Below are 17,921 nucleotides of genomic sequence, written 5' to 3'. Positions count from 1 at the left end.
GTTAAAGTCATGATAAAACTGTGGTGTTTTTTTCTTCATACATGATTTAATATATCTCTAGGAATTCTGGAATAAGAAAATATATAACCGCACAGCAATATTCTTTGAAACAAAATTTCTAGAGAATTTATAAAAATTTGCTTGGATCTTGATTTACAATTGAAATACAAGAAAGGCTAGTGTACAAATTAGGCAAGTTTCTGTGCTGTACATCCAGCTACTGGTACCACAAATAGAGGATATGTTGTGACTTTTTGAGTTGAGGAGGACTTTTATGATCATGTACACTCTACTGTCCTTTAAGAGGCATTCATTCATTCATTCTTCGTTTATTAATTCAGTAAACATTTACTGGCTATTTACTACATTCCAGGTACTGTGGGGATATTGATTGTAATGACATGATCCTTTATTGTCAATATGCTTACAGTCCACTAGGGGGAGCCAAATATATAAATAAGCTTAAGAATTACGTTGAAGGGGCCAGAATAGAAGTCTGTGGAAGGTGTGGGATGGGATGACAGCATCAGAAAGAATTGGGCAAATCTGTCCCAGGACTAGGTCAGAAAAACGCCTCCCTAGGGAAGGTGCCACCCCAAACACGTGTTTCTGAGACCCCTTACCCGAAATAAGGAGGCTGCCAAGGTGAGCATGGAACGGTTAGGCGTTTTGTATGGAGCAAACTGGGGGGACCCCAGCTGAGACCTCTGGCCTGGGCCTTGTGATTCACGCATAGGCTCATCTTATCGGCCACCGGGTCTGAGAAGAAACTACCACCCTGCAAGTTAACAGGGATCCCTCCGAGAACGGGCACCTCAAAGCCTGAGCCACGTGAGAGCAATGTCTGAGCAACACGGTTTTTAAAAATGATCTCTTCTCCTTTATTGCCACATTCACATAAAACGTTTTGATATATTTGGGTTGGTAAAAGCTAAAGAAAATTGAAGTTAAAATATATATGGTTTTAGTGTTCCGAAAAGCAGTTACAGATTGCTTCCTTGGTTTAATTATCGAAGCGGTCGAAATTCTGGGTTTGAAACTCTTGGAAGTCCTCAGGGATGGTGTCTGCAATAGGAATGGGCACAGGGAGGTTAGCGAGGCTCCTTCCACCCCGGACCCCGGACCCCCGCCCGCGGCTCAGGCGTCCTGTAGGGGGCGCTGTTAGCCCGCCCAGGACGCCCCGCAGGCCCTCGCCGCCATTTTCTCCTGCAGGCTGCTTTGCAAACCGTTGGCTTAAAGCCCAGGAGTGCTCCTTCCCGGCCGTGCAGAAAATCAGCAGGCAGAATGGATTTTGCATCTGTGATTATGTTTTAACCACATGAAAATAAAGGCTTCCTGTAAATTAAATCTGACTGGATTTCTCACTGAACCCCAAACCCTAAACCATGCAGTTAAATTCTATGGGTCTTAATTTCCACATGGATAAAATAGGATAAATGTGATCTGCTTTTTACTTCTGGTACACAGGGACTATCAGGTTTTAATGACTATGTGGTATGAGCGTTGGGCTTTTGGGGGGGAAGTGCGGTATAAAAATAAGGTGGCAGTGTTTGACTAATTCTAGTAACAATGTTGAACAGTAACGAGAATGCACATTACCATTGCAGCGATACTTGAGGTTGGACCAGATGATGTTTTCTTGAGAGAAGCAGAAAACGCCAAGTCGGCCTCCACGCATTGTGGTGTCTATGGTGACGCCAGAGTCAGCCACCAACTCAGAGCCTTCATAAAATCGTACCCTGCGGACAACACGGCCGGAGGGGCCTCCATGAAATCCAACCCGGGGTAAAGTGCCCACTGTGAGGCCCAGGGGCCCCACTTCTTATACGTACCTGCGTCTTTCTTTGCTCTGTTTTAGGCTCCATTTTTCGCTGACCTGGATTGTACTGTAGCTGTTGCCACTTACTTACTAGACTGGAAGTCCTTGAGGGCAGGGACCGTGTGTGTCCGTGTGTGTGTGGAGGGGGGTGGGGGGTGTTTCTTCCCAACTTCTGTCTCTCACAAGGCCTAACATGATGTTGGTCACACTATCAAACTTGAGTTAAAAATCAAACCAAACCAAACCTGCTATCTTGAGTGAGAAAGTTTTGTGTCTTATTGTCATGTGAGTTGCCTTGTCTAGATACCATGCTTAAAAACTTTGGCTTTTCCTTTGGTCTGATTTATATCTTTTGGTGGAATCTCAGAGCAATGATTCTCCACAGGAGACAGCACTCCCTAAGTAGAGTTGGAGGAATCTGTGGGGACACTTTGGGTTGTCACAGTGGCACTGAGTGATGGCAGCCAGGGATGCTGGATGGCGAGCAATGCCCTGGCGAGAACAATCAAAACCTGTCCTGCATTCCATACACTTCTGGAGTGTTCCTCAGACACCAGGGTAGGTAAAGAGCAACTATCAGGGCCTAGAACCTGACTCACTTTCACTTGTAAACAGCAAGTATATTTTGCACAAATTTTAATATAAACTATATTTTCCAGGGTAAATTGAGAAAATTTGTTTGAAAATTAACATTCTAAAATGTGTACCATTTGAGAAATTTACATTGCTGTCATCAACCAGTGTAACAAACATTTAAGTCACTGACACAACAGTCTGTTAGAATGTCACCTTCGTAGTGATTCTAGGCATGGGTGCAAGTGTCTGTTTCATTTTGTCTTCTGGTGTGGCTGTGCTCAAATATTTAAATTATTTTGTTATAAATTATTCTTATTTCTCTATGATATTGTTAGGGCTCACATTGATTTTCTAGATTATACGTGTAGGTAGGTTGTAATTTCTATGATTCCATTTTGGGACGGAAAAGGGGGCATTTCAAAATATTTATAATAAAAAAGGGGCATTGGGCTTAATAGGGCTGAGAACATGATCATCTCACTGTGAGACAAAAAGAGTACATTTGACATAATGTCACAAAGAGAAACAAAACATGAATTTGCCCTCATGATTTTCTTTTTTCCACAAGGCTGCTTTCCTGCCCTGATGAGGAGAATGCACTCAGTACTCCTTCCTAAATATCCTACATAGGCTAGGATGGGTGTTGATCTGCAAGTTCAAATGAAGAAGAACACTATCTACATTTCAAAGACACAGCCCTAAGCCTCCTAACTCCCGAGAATACTTAAAAAACAACAACAAAAAAGTCCTATAAAGAAAGAAGTCAGACTACTTTGGCCTACATGATGATCAGTTCATGCCACGTGTAGTAGATGTCAGGCTTTGTGCTAGGCACTGGGGAGATCAAGATAAAATAATAAGCTATGGCTAGGCACAGTGGCCCATGCCTGTAATCCCAGCACTTTGGGAGGCCGAGGCGGGTGGATCACGAGGTCAGGAGATCAAGACCAGCCTGGCCAGCATGGTGAAACCCCATCTCTACTAAAAATACAAAAATTAGCCTGGCGTGATGGCGCGTGCCTGTAATCCCAGCTACTCGGGAGGCTGAGGCAGAAGAATCACTTGAACCAGGAAGGCGGAGGTTGCAGTGAGCTGAGATCACGCCACAGTACTCCTGCCTGGCAACAGAGTGGGATTCCGTCTCCAAAAAAAAAAAAAAAAAAAAAAAAAGATACAAGCGCTGCTCTCATGCAGTTTGTGATCCAGCAGGGAAGACAGACTGTAAGGGACATAGTGCTGCAGTCAGGGTGAAATGTGCACTAGTAAGTGATTACACAGGGCCCAGAGGTGCCACAGGGGAGGGTGTGGAGAAGAGACCCTGCCACACCTCTTACCTCATACCGATTGGCATGTCCACCCTCAGGCTTCTCTGCAGAGCATGGCAGAAGGGCACAGCCATCCAAATGCACCAACCCCACAACGCTGGGTCGTCCCCTCAGCTCTGCTCCTTCTATCCCCATCTTGGTCCTACTGTCCTGTCCGGGTGGTCTGACCCTGAATATCTTCTCTCCCACCTCTTTTCTAGGTTCCCCATCCTGCGGTCACAAAAGTCCTGGCATGTCCTTGGGGACTATCCTAGGTCAGAATTGCTCAGGGAAATGAAGGCTCTGGGATGCAGAACGGAGAATGCTTTGCTTCTAGAGCAAGGTAAGGAGATGGGGCCTCTACCTACCTGATGTAGCCCACCTGGGGCCTGTGCTGTAGGAACCAGCGGTAGGACACCTTGTCCTTCCAGCCCACATTCCTGGAGTCCTTCCACAGCAGCCTGACCTGGTCACTGGTGTCCCCCGTGTGCCACAGGGAGTTCCGGAGATGCTCCCCTGGACCTGTCTTAGACTTCACAGCCTGCATGATGACACAAGCAAGGTTTTAGGACAGGACACAGGCACCACCCTTCCTGCTTCCTGGATCTGAAGTGATGATCCAGGTTATAGTCATGGTTATAATCCGGCTGCCTTGGATTCAGAACAAAGCATAAACACTTAAATGTCATTTCTATGGAGGTGACCCCAACCTTTTACTACTAAGCCTTGCCCAGTATTCCATTACACATTCCATGTTTGTTCCTGCTGCACATCCATTGCTCCCTACATTTGCCCAATGAGGGCTCCTATCAAACGTCTGGCTACTTAAGTCAGCCTTGTGTCCTAGCAGGAGTGACAGAAGTAGCCCATCAGCCCTCCTGTACAAAGTTGGACCTATCGATGAAATTTATTAGCCAGTTTCCAACACAGTGTGCCTGAAGATGCACTCTAAACCTTCCCTCTCTCTGACCTCATGTAGGCTGGGATTCCCACCATGAGAGGTTAGAATGTAGCTGGCACACAGGAATGAAGGCAAGGGTCAACTGTAGTCTTCCCTGACTCTAACGTTAGCATAAATGCATCAATTTTTTTTAGATTAACTAAGTACCACATGGGAAAACACAATATCTGAAAAAAGATGAGAGGTCCAGAAGAAAGGGAGATGAATGACTTCAAACCACCAATACCTTGAGCTGAATGCCAGGTTCTGCAACTGCTCGGAATGGGGTGGCTTGCCAATATGTCTGCTCCGTCTGCTTCCACATGACCACGTAGAAGCTGGAGCTATCTTGGTAGCCAAAGATAAAGCCTGCATAGTCATCATCTGTCTGGGTATTCACATGGAAGGTCCCTTCGAAGTCAACTCCATTAAAAGCTGTGTACCCTGTAGGGACCAGATAAGATTAGAACAATAGACAAACCACACTAGTAGCTGGAAGAATTCTATGTGAGTGGCAACTGAGGCCCTGGACATACCCACTGCCAGGCCAGGATCACTGTTCATGGTCTGTACAATCTCCATGCCCTGCAGAGAGAGTTGAGGGAGTTCAGAACAGTCTTGAAGGGGCCAAGTAACCTTAAGGAAGCTCAAAACCTCAGGCACCATATGAGTGAGTGGCCAGTGATGTCTGACCTCCATATAAAGATTTCATTATCTGAAATAGTTGCTCTATTGTGTTATGTGCTCAAAGAAAGCATGTGCTTGTAAAGGTTAAAAAAAAGCTCAAAGCTGAATAGAAATAAGTTTGCTGAGACTGTCACTTAAGCTGATTGGACAGGCCCTTAACTGGGGAGCATACAACATATACTTCTAATCAATGTGACTTGCTCTGTGACTCTGGAAAATCTACTAAGCCTCTCTGTGCCTGCACTTCTTAGTTACACAATGAGGAGGATATGCAGAAGGCAGTCTGCTGCAGAGATCAGAAGTGTGGGTTCTAGGGTCAGACTGCCTGGGTCCCAATTCCAGTCATCTCAGCTACTTACCACAGTGCTACCATCATTAAAGCTGCTACAATCATGAAAGCTGTAGCAGACAATTTCATCCTCTGTAAAATGGGCATAATTGAAGTAGTCTGTCATAGGGCTGTTGAGGAATAAGAGCGAATGTGAAGAATGCCTGGCTTATTGTCTGCACCCTCTAAACATGACCTACCACTATCAGAAGGGCCTCTGTTGAGAGGCAAGGCTGAGCCATTGCCGCCCATGTGACACTCACCTGGTTCAGGACCACCCAGTTGGGATCGATCTGGGCATCCCCTTCAGGATCCAGGACCACGGTCTGGTAAGCCCTGAAGTCGGTCAGGGTGACCTCTGCGTTCTCTGGGCAGACGTCGATCCGATCGATGACCTGGTCCTGGTCAAAGTCAGACTCACAGATGTCTCCCACTCCGTCGCCTGAGTGGGGTGGAGAAAGGACAGGAGCTCAATAGCGCTCACACCCACCGCCACTCCTTGGCAGGGAAGGGGGCTGCATGAGGAACAGAAGGGCTCAAGCTCCCACAACCAGGGCCATGATTTCCCATCAGTGTTGGGAGAGGAGCCCTGGGGACATGTCTGAGCTGGTGCCAGGCCCCATTCTGGAGTCCTTGTACTGGGTGACCAGGCCAGTCCTCCCAGAGTTTTTTGAAAGATCAATTTGAGCAGTTGCCCTCCACTCTGTCCTCAAGAAGTTCTTATTACCTACAGTTGAGTTCACCAACTGGTGGATCTTAAGCTTGACCTCACATAAGCAAATGTCTACAGCACTTTCTGGACTGTAATGTGTAGAAAACAGGGAAATTATTGTTACCAGAATATCTCTAACACTAACTTCTGGTGGCCCCCACGTGTGTGTTGTTCAGCTAACGTGCTGGCATTTTTGCATGTGCACTGCTGTGGATGGGCATGCCCTCTCCAGGTCACTTCAGTCCCCAACACTCCCTGCTGTCTCATGTCTGGCTTGGTGCAGACATTTTCTTATCTGCCTGGCACCTGCAGGCATCTGTGTTTGTGAACCCAGCATATACCACTTCTACTGTGCCATTCTCTCTATCCTGCTCCTTTTCTGGGACTCCCAGTGGAAGGTGGCAGGTGACAGGTAAGATGGTGGAGCAGCTCTCCAAGCCCTTTGGGGACTGAGCCACAGTGTGTGGCTGCTTCCCTGACCTGTGTGATGGCATCCTAGGGTTGTTCAGGAAGATGCAAAGCAGCTCAGTCCTGACTGAGTTGGAGACTGGTGTCTACCAGATATCTGCTGTCCACACAAGCTGCAGCTATGCAGAGAAGCTGGGTGTAGAGAAGCAGCTGATGGGAGCTGGGGATATTCTGAGTTGGTGCCTGGAGAGAGGCGTGCCCCCATGTGCCTGGCTGAAGGGAGCCCAGGGGTGCTGTGCAGCTCTGGGCTGAGCCTGCTTACTGTTGCTATCCTCCTGGGCTGGGTTGGGGACCAGCCGGCAGTTGTCTGGTCCAGGGGGCACCAGGTCTGGGATACCATCATTGTCATCATCATCATCACACTCGTCACCAATTCCATCCTTATCGGTGTCCAGCTGGGCACTGTTAATGACGGTGGGGCAGTTGTCTGTGCTGTCCTGGTGCCCATCTCCATCACTGCAGGAGAAAGGACAGGTGATGTGGCTCACAGTTCAGCAGGGAACAGGAAGGATCCATTTTTAGGAAGGAGAGTCTGTGCTTGAGGTTTTTTTTAAACCAGGGTTGGCTCTTAAAATCAAACCCACTGGGGTCATTCCCTTAGATAAGGCTGCCCTATGGGCCTCAGAGACAATTTTCCCATCCCCAACCTCTTAAAACAAGTGAGTCATTTCCTACTAAAGAAGATAAGGGTCTATTTCTATGATTTATGACCAGATGCTCCTATCAGTCAGTCCCTGGGAACTGCTAGATGATACTCAACTCAGAGGATGTGTGAGGGGAACAATGACAGGCAGTGGAACCAGACAGCCTCAGTGTAAATCCTGGCTCAGCCACTGTGCCCAGCGTGTGACCTCAGGCATGACACCTGACCTCTCTATGGCTCAGTGTCCTCATCTGTAAAATGAGAATAGTACCTACCTCATAGAGTTGTTATGGAGATTAAATGATGAAAATCAGAATGTTGCATATTAAATTTCAATATATGAAAAAGTGCTGACTCTTAGGAAGCCCTACAGTGTTTTCCGTTATATTACTCTTCACAATCCCTGGCTAGTGGATCCAATGAGGATTCAGACCTGAACGCCATGGGGAGAAGGGCAAAGTGAACAGGGCCACGCCTTCTCGAGGAGAGTGTGTAGGCCGGGCTCAGTGCTGGTCTAAAGGACTTCTCAGAACTCTCCTTCTCTGTCCACCTGACTTTCTGGGCTGAGGGGCCACCTGAAGATGAGTCTGCCCTGCCTCCAAGAGGTGTCCTGGAGTCTGAGACCTCTCATGGTTACTCTGGAAAAGAATGAGCACTCCTTTAGACCTGGTCCACCTGCGGCCTGTCCTGGGCCAGGAGCTGCCCCTGCACCCTTTTGGAGAGGGAAGCCAGGGACCAGACCATGCTCTAGGGCCACACCTACCACATGGTACAGGGGGACAGAAAGGGTCCAGTGAAAGTGAAGTCAGCCTTGACAAGCAGAAAATGATGTGGCTCAAACAGCAGAATCCCTGTGCATGCAGCAGGTCTGCTTTATAAAACACAAGACTGAGCTATTTCCATTAGCAGCCGTTCTATGTAGCCCTGAACATTTTTATGCAAAAACAAGCAGTTCCTATCCTCTTCTCCAAGGTTCAACTTTGTGGGAATTAAAACATAGCAGAATGAGTCATTTGTTTTGGGCAAATATCTAGAGGCTGGTGGGACAGGATATTTTAGAAATTAATGTAGATAGTAGTCAGAGTGCAAGATGACCTGCACCAGGGAACATTCTTGACGCACATCATTTAGGGCAGTTGTCAGGATACAGTCCCACCTTCCTCTCGGAAGAGGAGAGGGACATCTGATGTCAGGCTCTGTTGCTGATGTGCCTTTCCTTGTACTGTGATACCAATAATAACACGGCCCCTGTTTTCTGCATGTCACCCTTGGGCCAGCACTGTGCCGGGAGCTTTACCTACATTATCTTGATTTTTCACCATAACCTGTGCGATGCATTTATTTATCTCCTCTTTGCAGATGAAGAAGTTGAGATGTGAAGAGACTGGGAAATATGTTTAAGTTCACTTAGCTAGTACAGTCAGGCCTCTGTATCCGCGGTTCCGTATCCGCAGATTCAACCAACTGAGGATTGAAAAGATTTGAAAAAGAACAATAAAAAATAACACCAAAAAAATACAAATAAGAAACCAATGCAGTATAATAACTATTTACCTAGCATTTACATTGTATTAGGTATTAAGTAATCTAGAGAGGATTTTTAAAGCATATAGGAGGACAGGTATAGGTTATATGCAGATATTACATCATTTTATATAAGGGACTTGAGTATTTGAGGATTTTGGTATCCTGGGGGCAGAGGGGTATCCTGGGACCAATACCCTGGGACACTGAGGGATGACTATATGTACTTTGCAGCAAGGACACAGAGCATAATGAAAGAGATGCACACTTTGGGAGGATGAGGCAGGTGGATCACTTGAGGCCAGGAGTTCGAGACCAGCCTGGCCAACATGGTGAAACTCTGTCTCTACTAAAAATACAAAAATTAGCCAGCATGGTGGCACACACCTGTAATCCCAGGTACGTGGGAGTCTGAGGCATGAGAATTGCTTGAACCCAGGAGGTGGAGGTTGCAGTGAGCCGAGATCACGCCAGCCTGGGTGACAGAGCAAGACTCCATCTCAAAAAAAAAAAAAAAGAGAGAGAGAGCTGTGGCTTCATAGGAGCTGTCCTTGAGTAAGGTTTGGGTCAGGAACTGGTTTTCTGCAGGGCAACCTCTGATCCAGGTATCAGGAGAGAAATTGCATCTTTTTTTGCTTTCTCTTTTAGAATCCTTTCCCTCTCATCCTTGTCCTGGCTGCCTTTGTAAGAATTCCCTATGGAGACAAAAGGGTTTAGAACCTTGGGTTGCAGGTGCCGCTAGGGCTGAGTGACACACGTCTGTTTTTGGTGATGTTCTTCCAGAATCTGATCAGTTGATCCAGCCTTGAGTCTTAATGTGGGACTCCATCGTGTTGAGCTAGGAGGGTTCACAAAACTCACTTCCACAGAACAATTCCACTTAAATAAGGAAAACTGAATTAAAAAAATTTCAAGGACCAGGAAATAATAGCAATCCCTCAGCAAACTGACAGCCTTCTATTTTGGGATGATGGTGAAGTTTTCCTGAGCTGAAAGAATATAAAAATAAAAGAGCTAATGTCTATTGAGTGCTATGTATATAACAGAAACCATAATGAGCACTTTCCATGGATCAACTCAATCTTCACGATGGTCCTATGAGCTAGATCTATTGTCATCCTCATTTTACAGATGAGAAAATTGAGGCAAAAGTATTAGGTAATTTGCCTAAGGTTAGCTGGCATGTAAGAGAAGGAGCTGAAATTTATATCTAGCTGTCTTATTCCAGAGCCCATCTGTGAAGCATGATGCTATATTACCTCTCCTGAAATAGATCTCACTTGCTGGAGTGCCTAGTAACCTATTCTGACACCGTTATACCCTATACAGAACTTTCAGGGAGAATTTTCATGGTAATTCTGACCAGAGGCAGGGCTATTATCCCACCAGCAGCTCAGTCCACCCAGAAAGATCCCAAGGAATGGAGCAGCAGGAAGTTCTGAAATTTAAAACCCTCTCCGGGCTGGGCACAGTGGCTCACGCCTGTAATCCCAGCACTTTGGGAGGCCGAGGCGGGCAGATCACAAGGTCAGGAGATCGAGACCATCCTGGCTAACATGGTGAAACCCCGTCTCTACTGAAAATACAAAAAAATTAGCCAGGCATGGTAGCGGGCGCCTGTAGTCCCAGCTACTTGGGAGGCTGAGGCAGAAGAATGGCATAAACCTGGGAATCGGAGCTTGCAGTGAGCCGAGATTGCACCACTGTACTCCAGCCTGGGTGATAGAGTGAGACTCCGCCTCAAAAAAAAAAACAAACCAAAAACCCTCTCCGGATGTTTGCATCTGTCTCTCTGCAGTTGGGAGACATGCCATACCTGTCCTGATTGGTGTCACAGGAGTCCCCAACCAGATCATTATCCACATCAGACTGCAAAGAGAACAGCACATGTTATTTATTCCTGGGCCTGCATGTACCGAATGTTCCAGAGAAGGCAGACCTCACCCATCATCATTGGATTTGGGGAATTATTTCTCTGGAACCGGGGTGGTGCAAAACTGCAAAAGGACAACACCATATTGGTGTAGGCACAATGCTGAATTTTCAAAAAAGCCTTCTAAAATATCAAGCTACATGGATGGGCTGCCCACACACCAGATGAGCTGATTGGAAAGGGGCGCTGGGGTAGCATGGTGGCAGGTGGAGGCATGGAACTCTGGCACGGGTCACAGGGAGCCAGCCATAGGCATGGGGAGAAGGCAGGTTGATTTTGCTTTGCTTCTGCAATTTGCAATTTGGCCAAAATCATGAGTGAGTCACAGAGGGCAACCATGACTCCCCTCTCTCAGGGCTTTAAAAATAAATGACACATCATACCCAATTATCCAGACAGGGAGGAGGAGTGAGAAGGGAGATGCAACACATCCCTGGCTGAACTTAATCTGAAATGTCCATACATAGGCTGTGTAGGGGTTTAGGGACTAAAGGGACACAAGGCTCCCAATGGTTAATTTCCATGCTCCGTTTTCCTTTCTGCAGGAAAAATACTTGTATTGAGCATCATGAAGTTCGTGTTACTAACCTCACAGGCAATCGACAGCCTGGGAGATAGTCCCTAGGGCTTCAGATCTTGTGTGGTGTTCATCCCACCATCTTCAGGCCCACAGTGTGTCATTTTTCCACCTCTGCTTTGTTAGGTAAGTGGCAACAGCTAAGAGGCTCTGCTGTTTTTCTAGACACCCGTCTTAAATGAGTCTTTGCATAGAGGAATTCAGCCTGGAGTTTGAATTCCCCAGTATCCTACTAACCTGGTTAGGGTTGCTGACATCAGGACAACTGTCACAGGCATCCCCCACACCATCACCATCCTTGTCCCGTTGGTCACGATTGGGAAATTTTGGGCAGTTGTCCAGAATGTTTTTTATTCCTGTGAGAAAGAAATGCTACCTTGAGTCAGGGGAATGTCACTGACTTCTTCTAGGTGCTGGAGAGATCAGGCGCATGGTGAGTCACTTCTGCCTGGGCCAGTGTCACACAGAGACTACCCTTTTCTGCAGTTATCCAGAGGTAGCTTCAAAGGACGGATTCTGGGAGACTTAAAAATGAACAGCTCTCAGAGGTATTTATCGACTGAATTCTAATTTGTCCAAGATGTCAAGGGCTATGATAGCAACCACGAGGAGGGGATCATGATGGCTGTATGGCTGACCCTGGAGAGGGAGGATCTCGTGGGTATCTGAGCTATGACTGAGACCCTAGGGCTCTAGGCAGTGTTGTGCTGGAGCTGGGTCCATTGTGTCCCTCTCTTTTCAGTTTTGTGTTTGATGATGTCACATTGGTAGCTTGAAATCAGCAATGAGGACAATGCGGAGTTACATCATGGAAACTGGAAAATGCTACCAACTAGGGCTTTCTGTGATTTGCTTACCAGCATATACCACTGGAAATGGGTCATCAGTTAGGCTTGCAGAAGGTGAGGTCATGTTTTAGGGGGGTGTGCATGTTCTGGAGTGGTGTATGTGTGTGTGTGTGTGTGTGTGTGTGTGTGTATGTGTGTGTTGGGGCAGGTGGTATTTCAAAAAGGTTTTTCCTTCAAGGGCCCACAATGGGATGTGTAGCCTGTGATGCATAGTCTGTGACCCTGCTCAATGCCTTCTCATTCAGTTCTCCACTTCTGGGTCTCTCACATGTAGAAAGGATAGTGGAGAGTGAGGACAGGTAGAAATGGGAAGGGAGATACCCCATAAAGACACACTCTGACAAGACACTGCTTGAAGGGGTCATACAAAGTTTCTGGCAATGATACAGAGTCCTGGAAACATCCAGAGCCATTAGGTAGTGGAGTGGGCTGTGGGGTCTCCTTCCATAGACACAAGTCCACCTTGGGTCTTCCAGATGCAGGCCACAATGAGCCACCCACAGCTGGAAGGCTCCGAATCAGTCATTCTATTCCTACTCTCTCAGAGAACAATGGAACAAGGTCAACTGAATTCCAAATAAAAGACAAAAGCAAGATAAATCTACCATCTCCATCCATGTCATCATCACAGGCATCTCCTCTTCCATCCCCATCGGTGTCTTTCTGGTCGTTATTTAAGACACTCAGGCAGTTATCACAGGCATCCCCAAAGATATCTTTATCGCTGTTCCTTTGGTCCACATTATGAATCAGGACACAGTTATCCTAAAAGATGAAAGGACAGAACATCACTCAGACTTTTACTAAATCCACTTCCTCCATTGTTGTGAAGCATCAGCACTCTGGTGGCCCAAGTTTGTCAGTTTTATATTTCAAACATCTGTGAATCTTATAGGGTAAAAAGCTGCAGTGCTGTGGAATGCAGGCATGGAAACTAACATTTGGGATGATTCATATACATAGTTGACATCACAGGCTTTCTCCCATCATCCCTGGTACGTGGCAATTCACAGGCCCTCCCAGCGAAGCAGGTACCTGCTCATTCAGGATCCCATCTCCGTCAGCATCCTCGTCACAAGCGTCGCCAATGCCATCTCTGTCTGCATCTTCTTGGCCAGAATTTGGCACATATTTGCAGTTGTCCTTAGGGGGAAAATGCAGTTCCGAGTGACATCCTACATTTGTGTTAAGCCAGTAACTGTTTCTGACCTCAAGACACTGTGGCTTTATTGTTGGTGGCTGTTTCACTTCCTCTGAGATGCAGCTACTTTACAAGTACAATTTTAAATTAGATCCACAGAACCTCTCCCCATAGAAGATGTGACTTTGGAAAGCCACAGTGCATGTGTGCCTACTGCCACCCCACACCCCTTACCTTTTTACAGTTCCTGGCAGAGCATGGCAGTTCTTCGTCGGGGTAACTGTCGATGTCCACATCCTTTCCACAGATATAGCCATCTCCAGCCCAACCGACTCCACACTGTAAAGGGAAAGCCCATCAGAGGCCTGGGAAGCTGAGCCTGGCAGGAAGCTGGTGGCTGACAAGGGCCTCTCTGCTCCTTTGCTCAATCCCAGGGGGAGGGCCCAGAGTCACTCAGCCTTGTTGGGTGGGGCTTAGAAACTATTTAATTGCACTTGAATAGTGTAATGGTTCACTATTCAAAGATATAAAGGGAGACTCAGAGAGAAAACTCTCCCTCCCACTCCCACTTCCAGGAACAGGCAGAGCAGCAGAAGGGAGATGGGAGGAGGGGACCCAGAAGGTCACAGGGAACTGGAAACGCAGAGGGAGAGAAAGCTGACCTGGGACGGGAGGTAAAGGAAGGAAGAGGGAGAGAGTCTGAGGAGCAGAGTCTGGGCCAAGGGAAATCAGACTTATGTGAGCACAGGTTAAATTTCCTGGCCTCACCACCCAAAAGCTTTCAGACCAGTGACTTCCTCAGCCACAGCCTGCTTATTCTCAATCATCTGTGCTCTCCCTCTGCAACCAGGATTTAGGAGGCAGAACTCCAGAGAGACCCTCCCGGGCTCCTGGTTCCTGCTCACTTGCCCCAGCAGGGCCTTTGGAAGGCCTGGAAGGCTGATCCACGAGGCTGATCCTTGACTCACTTTAATGAGGAAAAAATGTCCTCTAGGAACAAATACATTTTTAATGAGCTATTTTCTGGCAGATTCAATTATTTTAGTAGTCACGCCAAGTTTATTAATCCTTTACCATCTGTCGTTGTGCCTTATTACAAATTCAAAAACATATTAAGAGCCCCATCACCCATCATCCCAGGGGAGTTGTCAATTTGTTCACAGAAAATGGGGATTTCAACAGAGATATACACTTGTTTCTCAATGACTGCTTTTTGGTAATAAACAAGCCCAACCATGAGGAATTCAGGAAATTGCTGGGGTTATTCCCCCTCTGATACACCACATTCTTCCATCTGACCTTGTTACAGAATATCTGTATTGCCAAGGAGGGCTGACTTCATTATATTTATTTATTAACTCATTTTTGACTCTTATTTTTCCTATTTGAAAAGTGGTAGGCTCATTGTGGAAAATTGTGTATGCATAAAGATAAAGAAGCATAACTTTGAGATAAAGATGGAAAAGGGCTCCGAGAATCCATCTTGCTACTCAGGGGTGATCACTGTGAACCAGTGACCCCAGAGTCTGACGGGCCACCGGCCGAGGGCCTGGCATCCCAGGAAGTGCAGAGGAGGGGGGCAGCTGAAGTCTGCTGATTTTTCAGTGCCTAGGATCCCCAGGACTTTGGATCCTTGGATTTGGGAATGGATGGCAGGCTGAGGACTCTGGATCCTTGGACTTGGGAATGGATGGCAGGCTGAGGACTCTGGATCCTTGGATTTGGGAATGGATGGCAGGCTGAGGACTCTGGATCCTTGGATTTGGGAATGGATGGCAGGAGCATGCCCTCTCCTTCACATAGGGCCCACTACAAGCTCAGCATGGGACCCATGTCAGGCCCTGCTGTGACTGCTCTACTCTCTTCCCAGCCTCCCCTCCCCAGACCAGCTCCGTGGCTGGAGAATGCACAGGAAGCGTGACCATTCATGGAGCTGTCCCTGATTGGAGTGGAGGTAGACATACAGCATGGCGCCGTCTGGCCCTGCCAGTCACCTGCCAAAGACGGAAGGTTTCTCCCGGAGGGACTATGACAGTCCCCACCTCTACACGATGGCCCACCCCCAACAGGAGCGTCAAGGCAGACAGACTCTGGAAGTTGTAAGGATGAGGACAGTTAGAGATGACAGCAGGTATGTTGTCATTATACAGGCAGGTAGATGGGGCAGAAGAAGGAAAGGGGAGAAGAATGTTCCTTCACCTCCCTGCTGCTGGCTTCTGGGCCTTTCCATAGAAGGTGCTTGGGAGCTGGGGCTTCACCGGAGGCTCTGGCATCCAGGTACCCAAGTGGACAGGGTTGCCCCCCAGCCAAGAGGGAGAGAAAAGGCAGCTGATGGTTAGATGGATGTCAGGCTGCTCCCCACAAACTCGGTGGACCCTGTTCCTATTACACTCCATGCTCATTTAATTGCAATGCTTTCATTTTGGAGTACTTTTACCCTGAAGCACATAGAAACTGGAGAGAGGTGGTGTTAAAAATGGAAGAGGAAAAATGATAGAGGAAGTCAAAAAACAACTTACCACACATGTCACATCCCCCTGCCTCTCTTCAATGCACTGGGCATTCACACTGCAAGGGTTCAGCTCTGGGTTTCTGCAGTTTCTTTCCGCTTTGCATCCCCTTATCTGATCACCAGTATACCCCGGCTTACAAGGCCCACAGCGGTAAGATCCCTGCAAGGAACAAAGATCAGGTGATGAGCTGAAAGCTGTGGGCAAAGGTACAGTTTGAGCAAAGGTACAGTTATTGTGTATATTTTCACAGGTACTCATTGCTGGCAGGAATCAGGCATCAGATCCATGCCTTCTTCTTTGCTTACATGTAAGATCATGTGAATGTTGATGAAAACACCATCAGACTGGAGGCTGCGTCCGGCCACTCAGACAAAGAAGGAATAGAAGTGAAGGAAGAAGGCTGGACTGTGAACCAATGACACTGAGTTGCCCGCGCCACCGTGGAGGGCATAGGGGACAGGTCAAAAGTTCCAGTGAAGTCCTGGGAGGTGGTGTGAGAAGTTTACTCTGGGGACAGGGAGATGATCTGCTTAAAAAGCAAGTTAATTTTTCTTATTGCTGTTCCTTTGGCTCTTTTACAATGGAATGACAAAGGAATGGGTGCACAGAGAAATGCTGGTGGCCTGCATTGAGAATTTCTGATGAGGTAGGCTGAGAAACTGACAAATGAGCTGTCAGCTCCGCTGCAATGACACTTCAGGGGCCAGGTTTTTTTAGCTTTTATATATATAATATATATTATCACACTGCACACTATATATGTAATAAATATTATACAATATGTTTAAAAAATGAAAATTAAAATTTTCATCTTTATTGAGGTATAATTGACAAAACTGAATATATTTAAAGTGTGCAGTGTGATGATGTGATATACGTATACATTGTGAAATGATTACCACAGTCAGTTAAGTAACACATCCATCAACTGACATAGTTACCTTCCTTTTTTTCTTTTTCAGTGAGAACACTTAAGATCTGCTCTCTTAGCAGATTTCATATATATAATATAGTATTATTAACTACAGTCACCATGCTGTACATTAGATCTTTTTCATCTTATGCAGTTTTATTGGCATAACATTTACAGGTCGTAAAAGACATCCATTTGAAGTATATATATTGTTTAATGATTTAAGTCACTCACAACCTCTTAGTTGCCAAATCCAATGCATGCTTTCCAATGACTTGTCTCGATCTTTCAGCCTCCCTGGCTGTGCTATCAGTTCGCTCCTTTTTCTGGCTTCTGCTCTTTTTCCTTGGCCTAGTCCTTCGTTTTTGGGGTTTCCTGGAGTTCTATTTACTGTCTACTTTCCTTCTCTCTAGGTGGCTCAGTTATTACCTTTACACCAAGATCTCGCAAATCTATTTGCAGACTACTTTGTCCTGGTAAAAGCTGAGAAGCAATAAATCCCCATCTATTCCTAAGCAATATAGCATTGCGGAGAAGAACTCAGGCTCTGTAGCCAACCTGGAAGATGTGTGACCTTAGTCTAAATACGTAACATTTCTTTTTTTTCTTTTTGGAGACAGGGTCTCCCTCTGTCACCCAGGTTAGAGTGCAGTGGCGATCACAGCTCACTGTAGCCTCAAACTACTCTTGTACCCAAATGATCCTTCGGCCTCAGCCTCCTGAGGAGCTGGGACTATAGGCATGCTCCACCATGCCTGGACTTAATGATGTAATATTTCTGTCCCTCAGTTTCTTCAATTGTAAAATGGGGATAATAATAATCCCTGTTTATGAGGTTGTTGTGAGGATTAAAATAAGTGACTTGATAAATGTAAAGTGTTTTTACTTACAAGGAAACAAGGAACCTAGAGGCTGGATAACTTTCAAATAGTCATACACGTAATCAGTAGTTCTTTTCTTGATAGTCAACTCTGGTACATCTCTCATCTTGGACA

General features: G+C 46.5%; 1 protein-coding gene and 1 long non-coding RNA gene across 8 annotated transcripts in view, besides 4 other annotated features; one reads left to right on the top strand and one right to left on the bottom strand.

Moving 5' to 3' along the window:
- Nucleotides 480-17,796, top strand: THBS4-AS1 (THBS4 antisense RNA 1). Its single transcript, NR_109930.1, has 8 exons — nt 480-645; nt 1,608-1,785; nt 3,921-4,042; nt 11,480-11,637; nt 11,922-12,059; nt 12,254-12,413; nt 15,371-15,631; nt 16,264-17,796. It is a non-coding gene; the product is annotated as a THBS4 antisense RNA 1 (long non-coding RNA).
- THBS4 (thrombospondin 4) overlaps nt 858-17,921 on the bottom strand; it is a 91,956-nt gene continuing 74,892 nt past the window's right edge. For 4 of the 7 annotated variants that reach the window (NM_001306213.2, NM_001306212.2, NM_003248.6 and 1 more), the window contains 13 exons: nt 16,020-16,172; nt 13,735-13,839; nt 13,395-13,502; nt 12,965-13,124; nt 11,749-11,867; nt 10,818-10,870; nt 7,097-7,290; nt 5,918-6,096; nt 5,176-5,224; nt 4,887-5,083; nt 4,068-4,240; nt 1,600-1,739; nt 858-1,065 (listed from right to left, as the gene is read on the bottom strand). In NM_001306213.2, coding sequence (NP_001293142.1) covers nt 1,004-1,065; nt 1,600-1,739; nt 4,068-4,240; nt 4,887-5,083; nt 5,176-5,224; nt 5,918-6,096; nt 7,097-7,290; nt 10,818-10,870; nt 11,749-11,867; nt 12,965-13,124; nt 13,395-13,502; nt 13,735-13,839; nt 16,020-16,172 — 1,692 coding nt within the window. In that variant the 3' untranslated portion in view covers nt 858-1,003. The other 3 variants (XR_007058633.1, XM_047417678.1, XM_017009799.3) reach the window with 3 other exon arrangements.
- Nucleotides 1,082-1,171: a silencer, noted in NCBI's record as "silent region_16133". NCBI's record gives its function as "represses an Ori minimal core promoter by ATAC-STARR-seq in GM12878 lymphoblastoid cells {active_cell/tissue: GM12878}" and the evidence as "EXISTENCE:reporter gene assay evidence [ECO:0000049][PMID:35858748]".
- Nucleotides 3,896-5,095: an enhancer, noted in NCBI's record as "MED14-independent group 3 enhancer chr5:79374873-79376072 (GRCh37/hg19 assembly coordinates)". NCBI's record gives its function as "activates an origin of replication core promoter dependent on BRD2, BRD4, P300/CBP and CDK7 cofactors, and independent of MED14, by STARR-seq in HCT116 cells {active_cell/tissue: HCT116}" and the evidence as "EXISTENCE:reporter gene assay evidence [ECO:0000049][PMID:35650434]".
- Nucleotides 4,004-4,231: a silencer, noted in NCBI's record as "fragment chr5:79375737-79375964 (GRCh37/hg19 assembly coordinates)". NCBI's record gives its function as "represses an EF-1alpha promoter that drives an FKBP-Casp9 reporter gene in an ReSE screen in HepG2 liver carcinoma cells {active_cell/tissue: HepG2}" and the evidence as "EXISTENCE:reporter gene assay evidence [ECO:0000049][PMID:32094911]".
- Nucleotides 12,757-13,956: an enhancer, noted in NCBI's record as "BRD4-independent group 4 enhancer chr5:79366012-79367211 (GRCh37/hg19 assembly coordinates)". NCBI's record gives its function as "activates an origin of replication core promoter dependent on BRD2, P300/CBP, MED14 and CDK7 cofactors, and independent of BRD4, by STARR-seq in HCT116 cells {active_cell/tissue: HCT116}" and the evidence as "EXISTENCE:reporter gene assay evidence [ECO:0000049][PMID:35650434]".

Source organism: Homo sapiens, chromosome 5, assembly GCF_000001405.40.
Source record: "Homo sapiens chromosome 5, GRCh38.p14 Primary Assembly".
In the NCBI taxonomy this organism is placed as follows: domain Eukaryota; kingdom Metazoa; phylum Chordata; class Mammalia; order Primates; family Hominidae; genus Homo; species Homo sapiens.
Note: the sequence above shows the minus strand (reverse complement) of the source record. Positions and strands in the feature narration are given on the sequence as shown.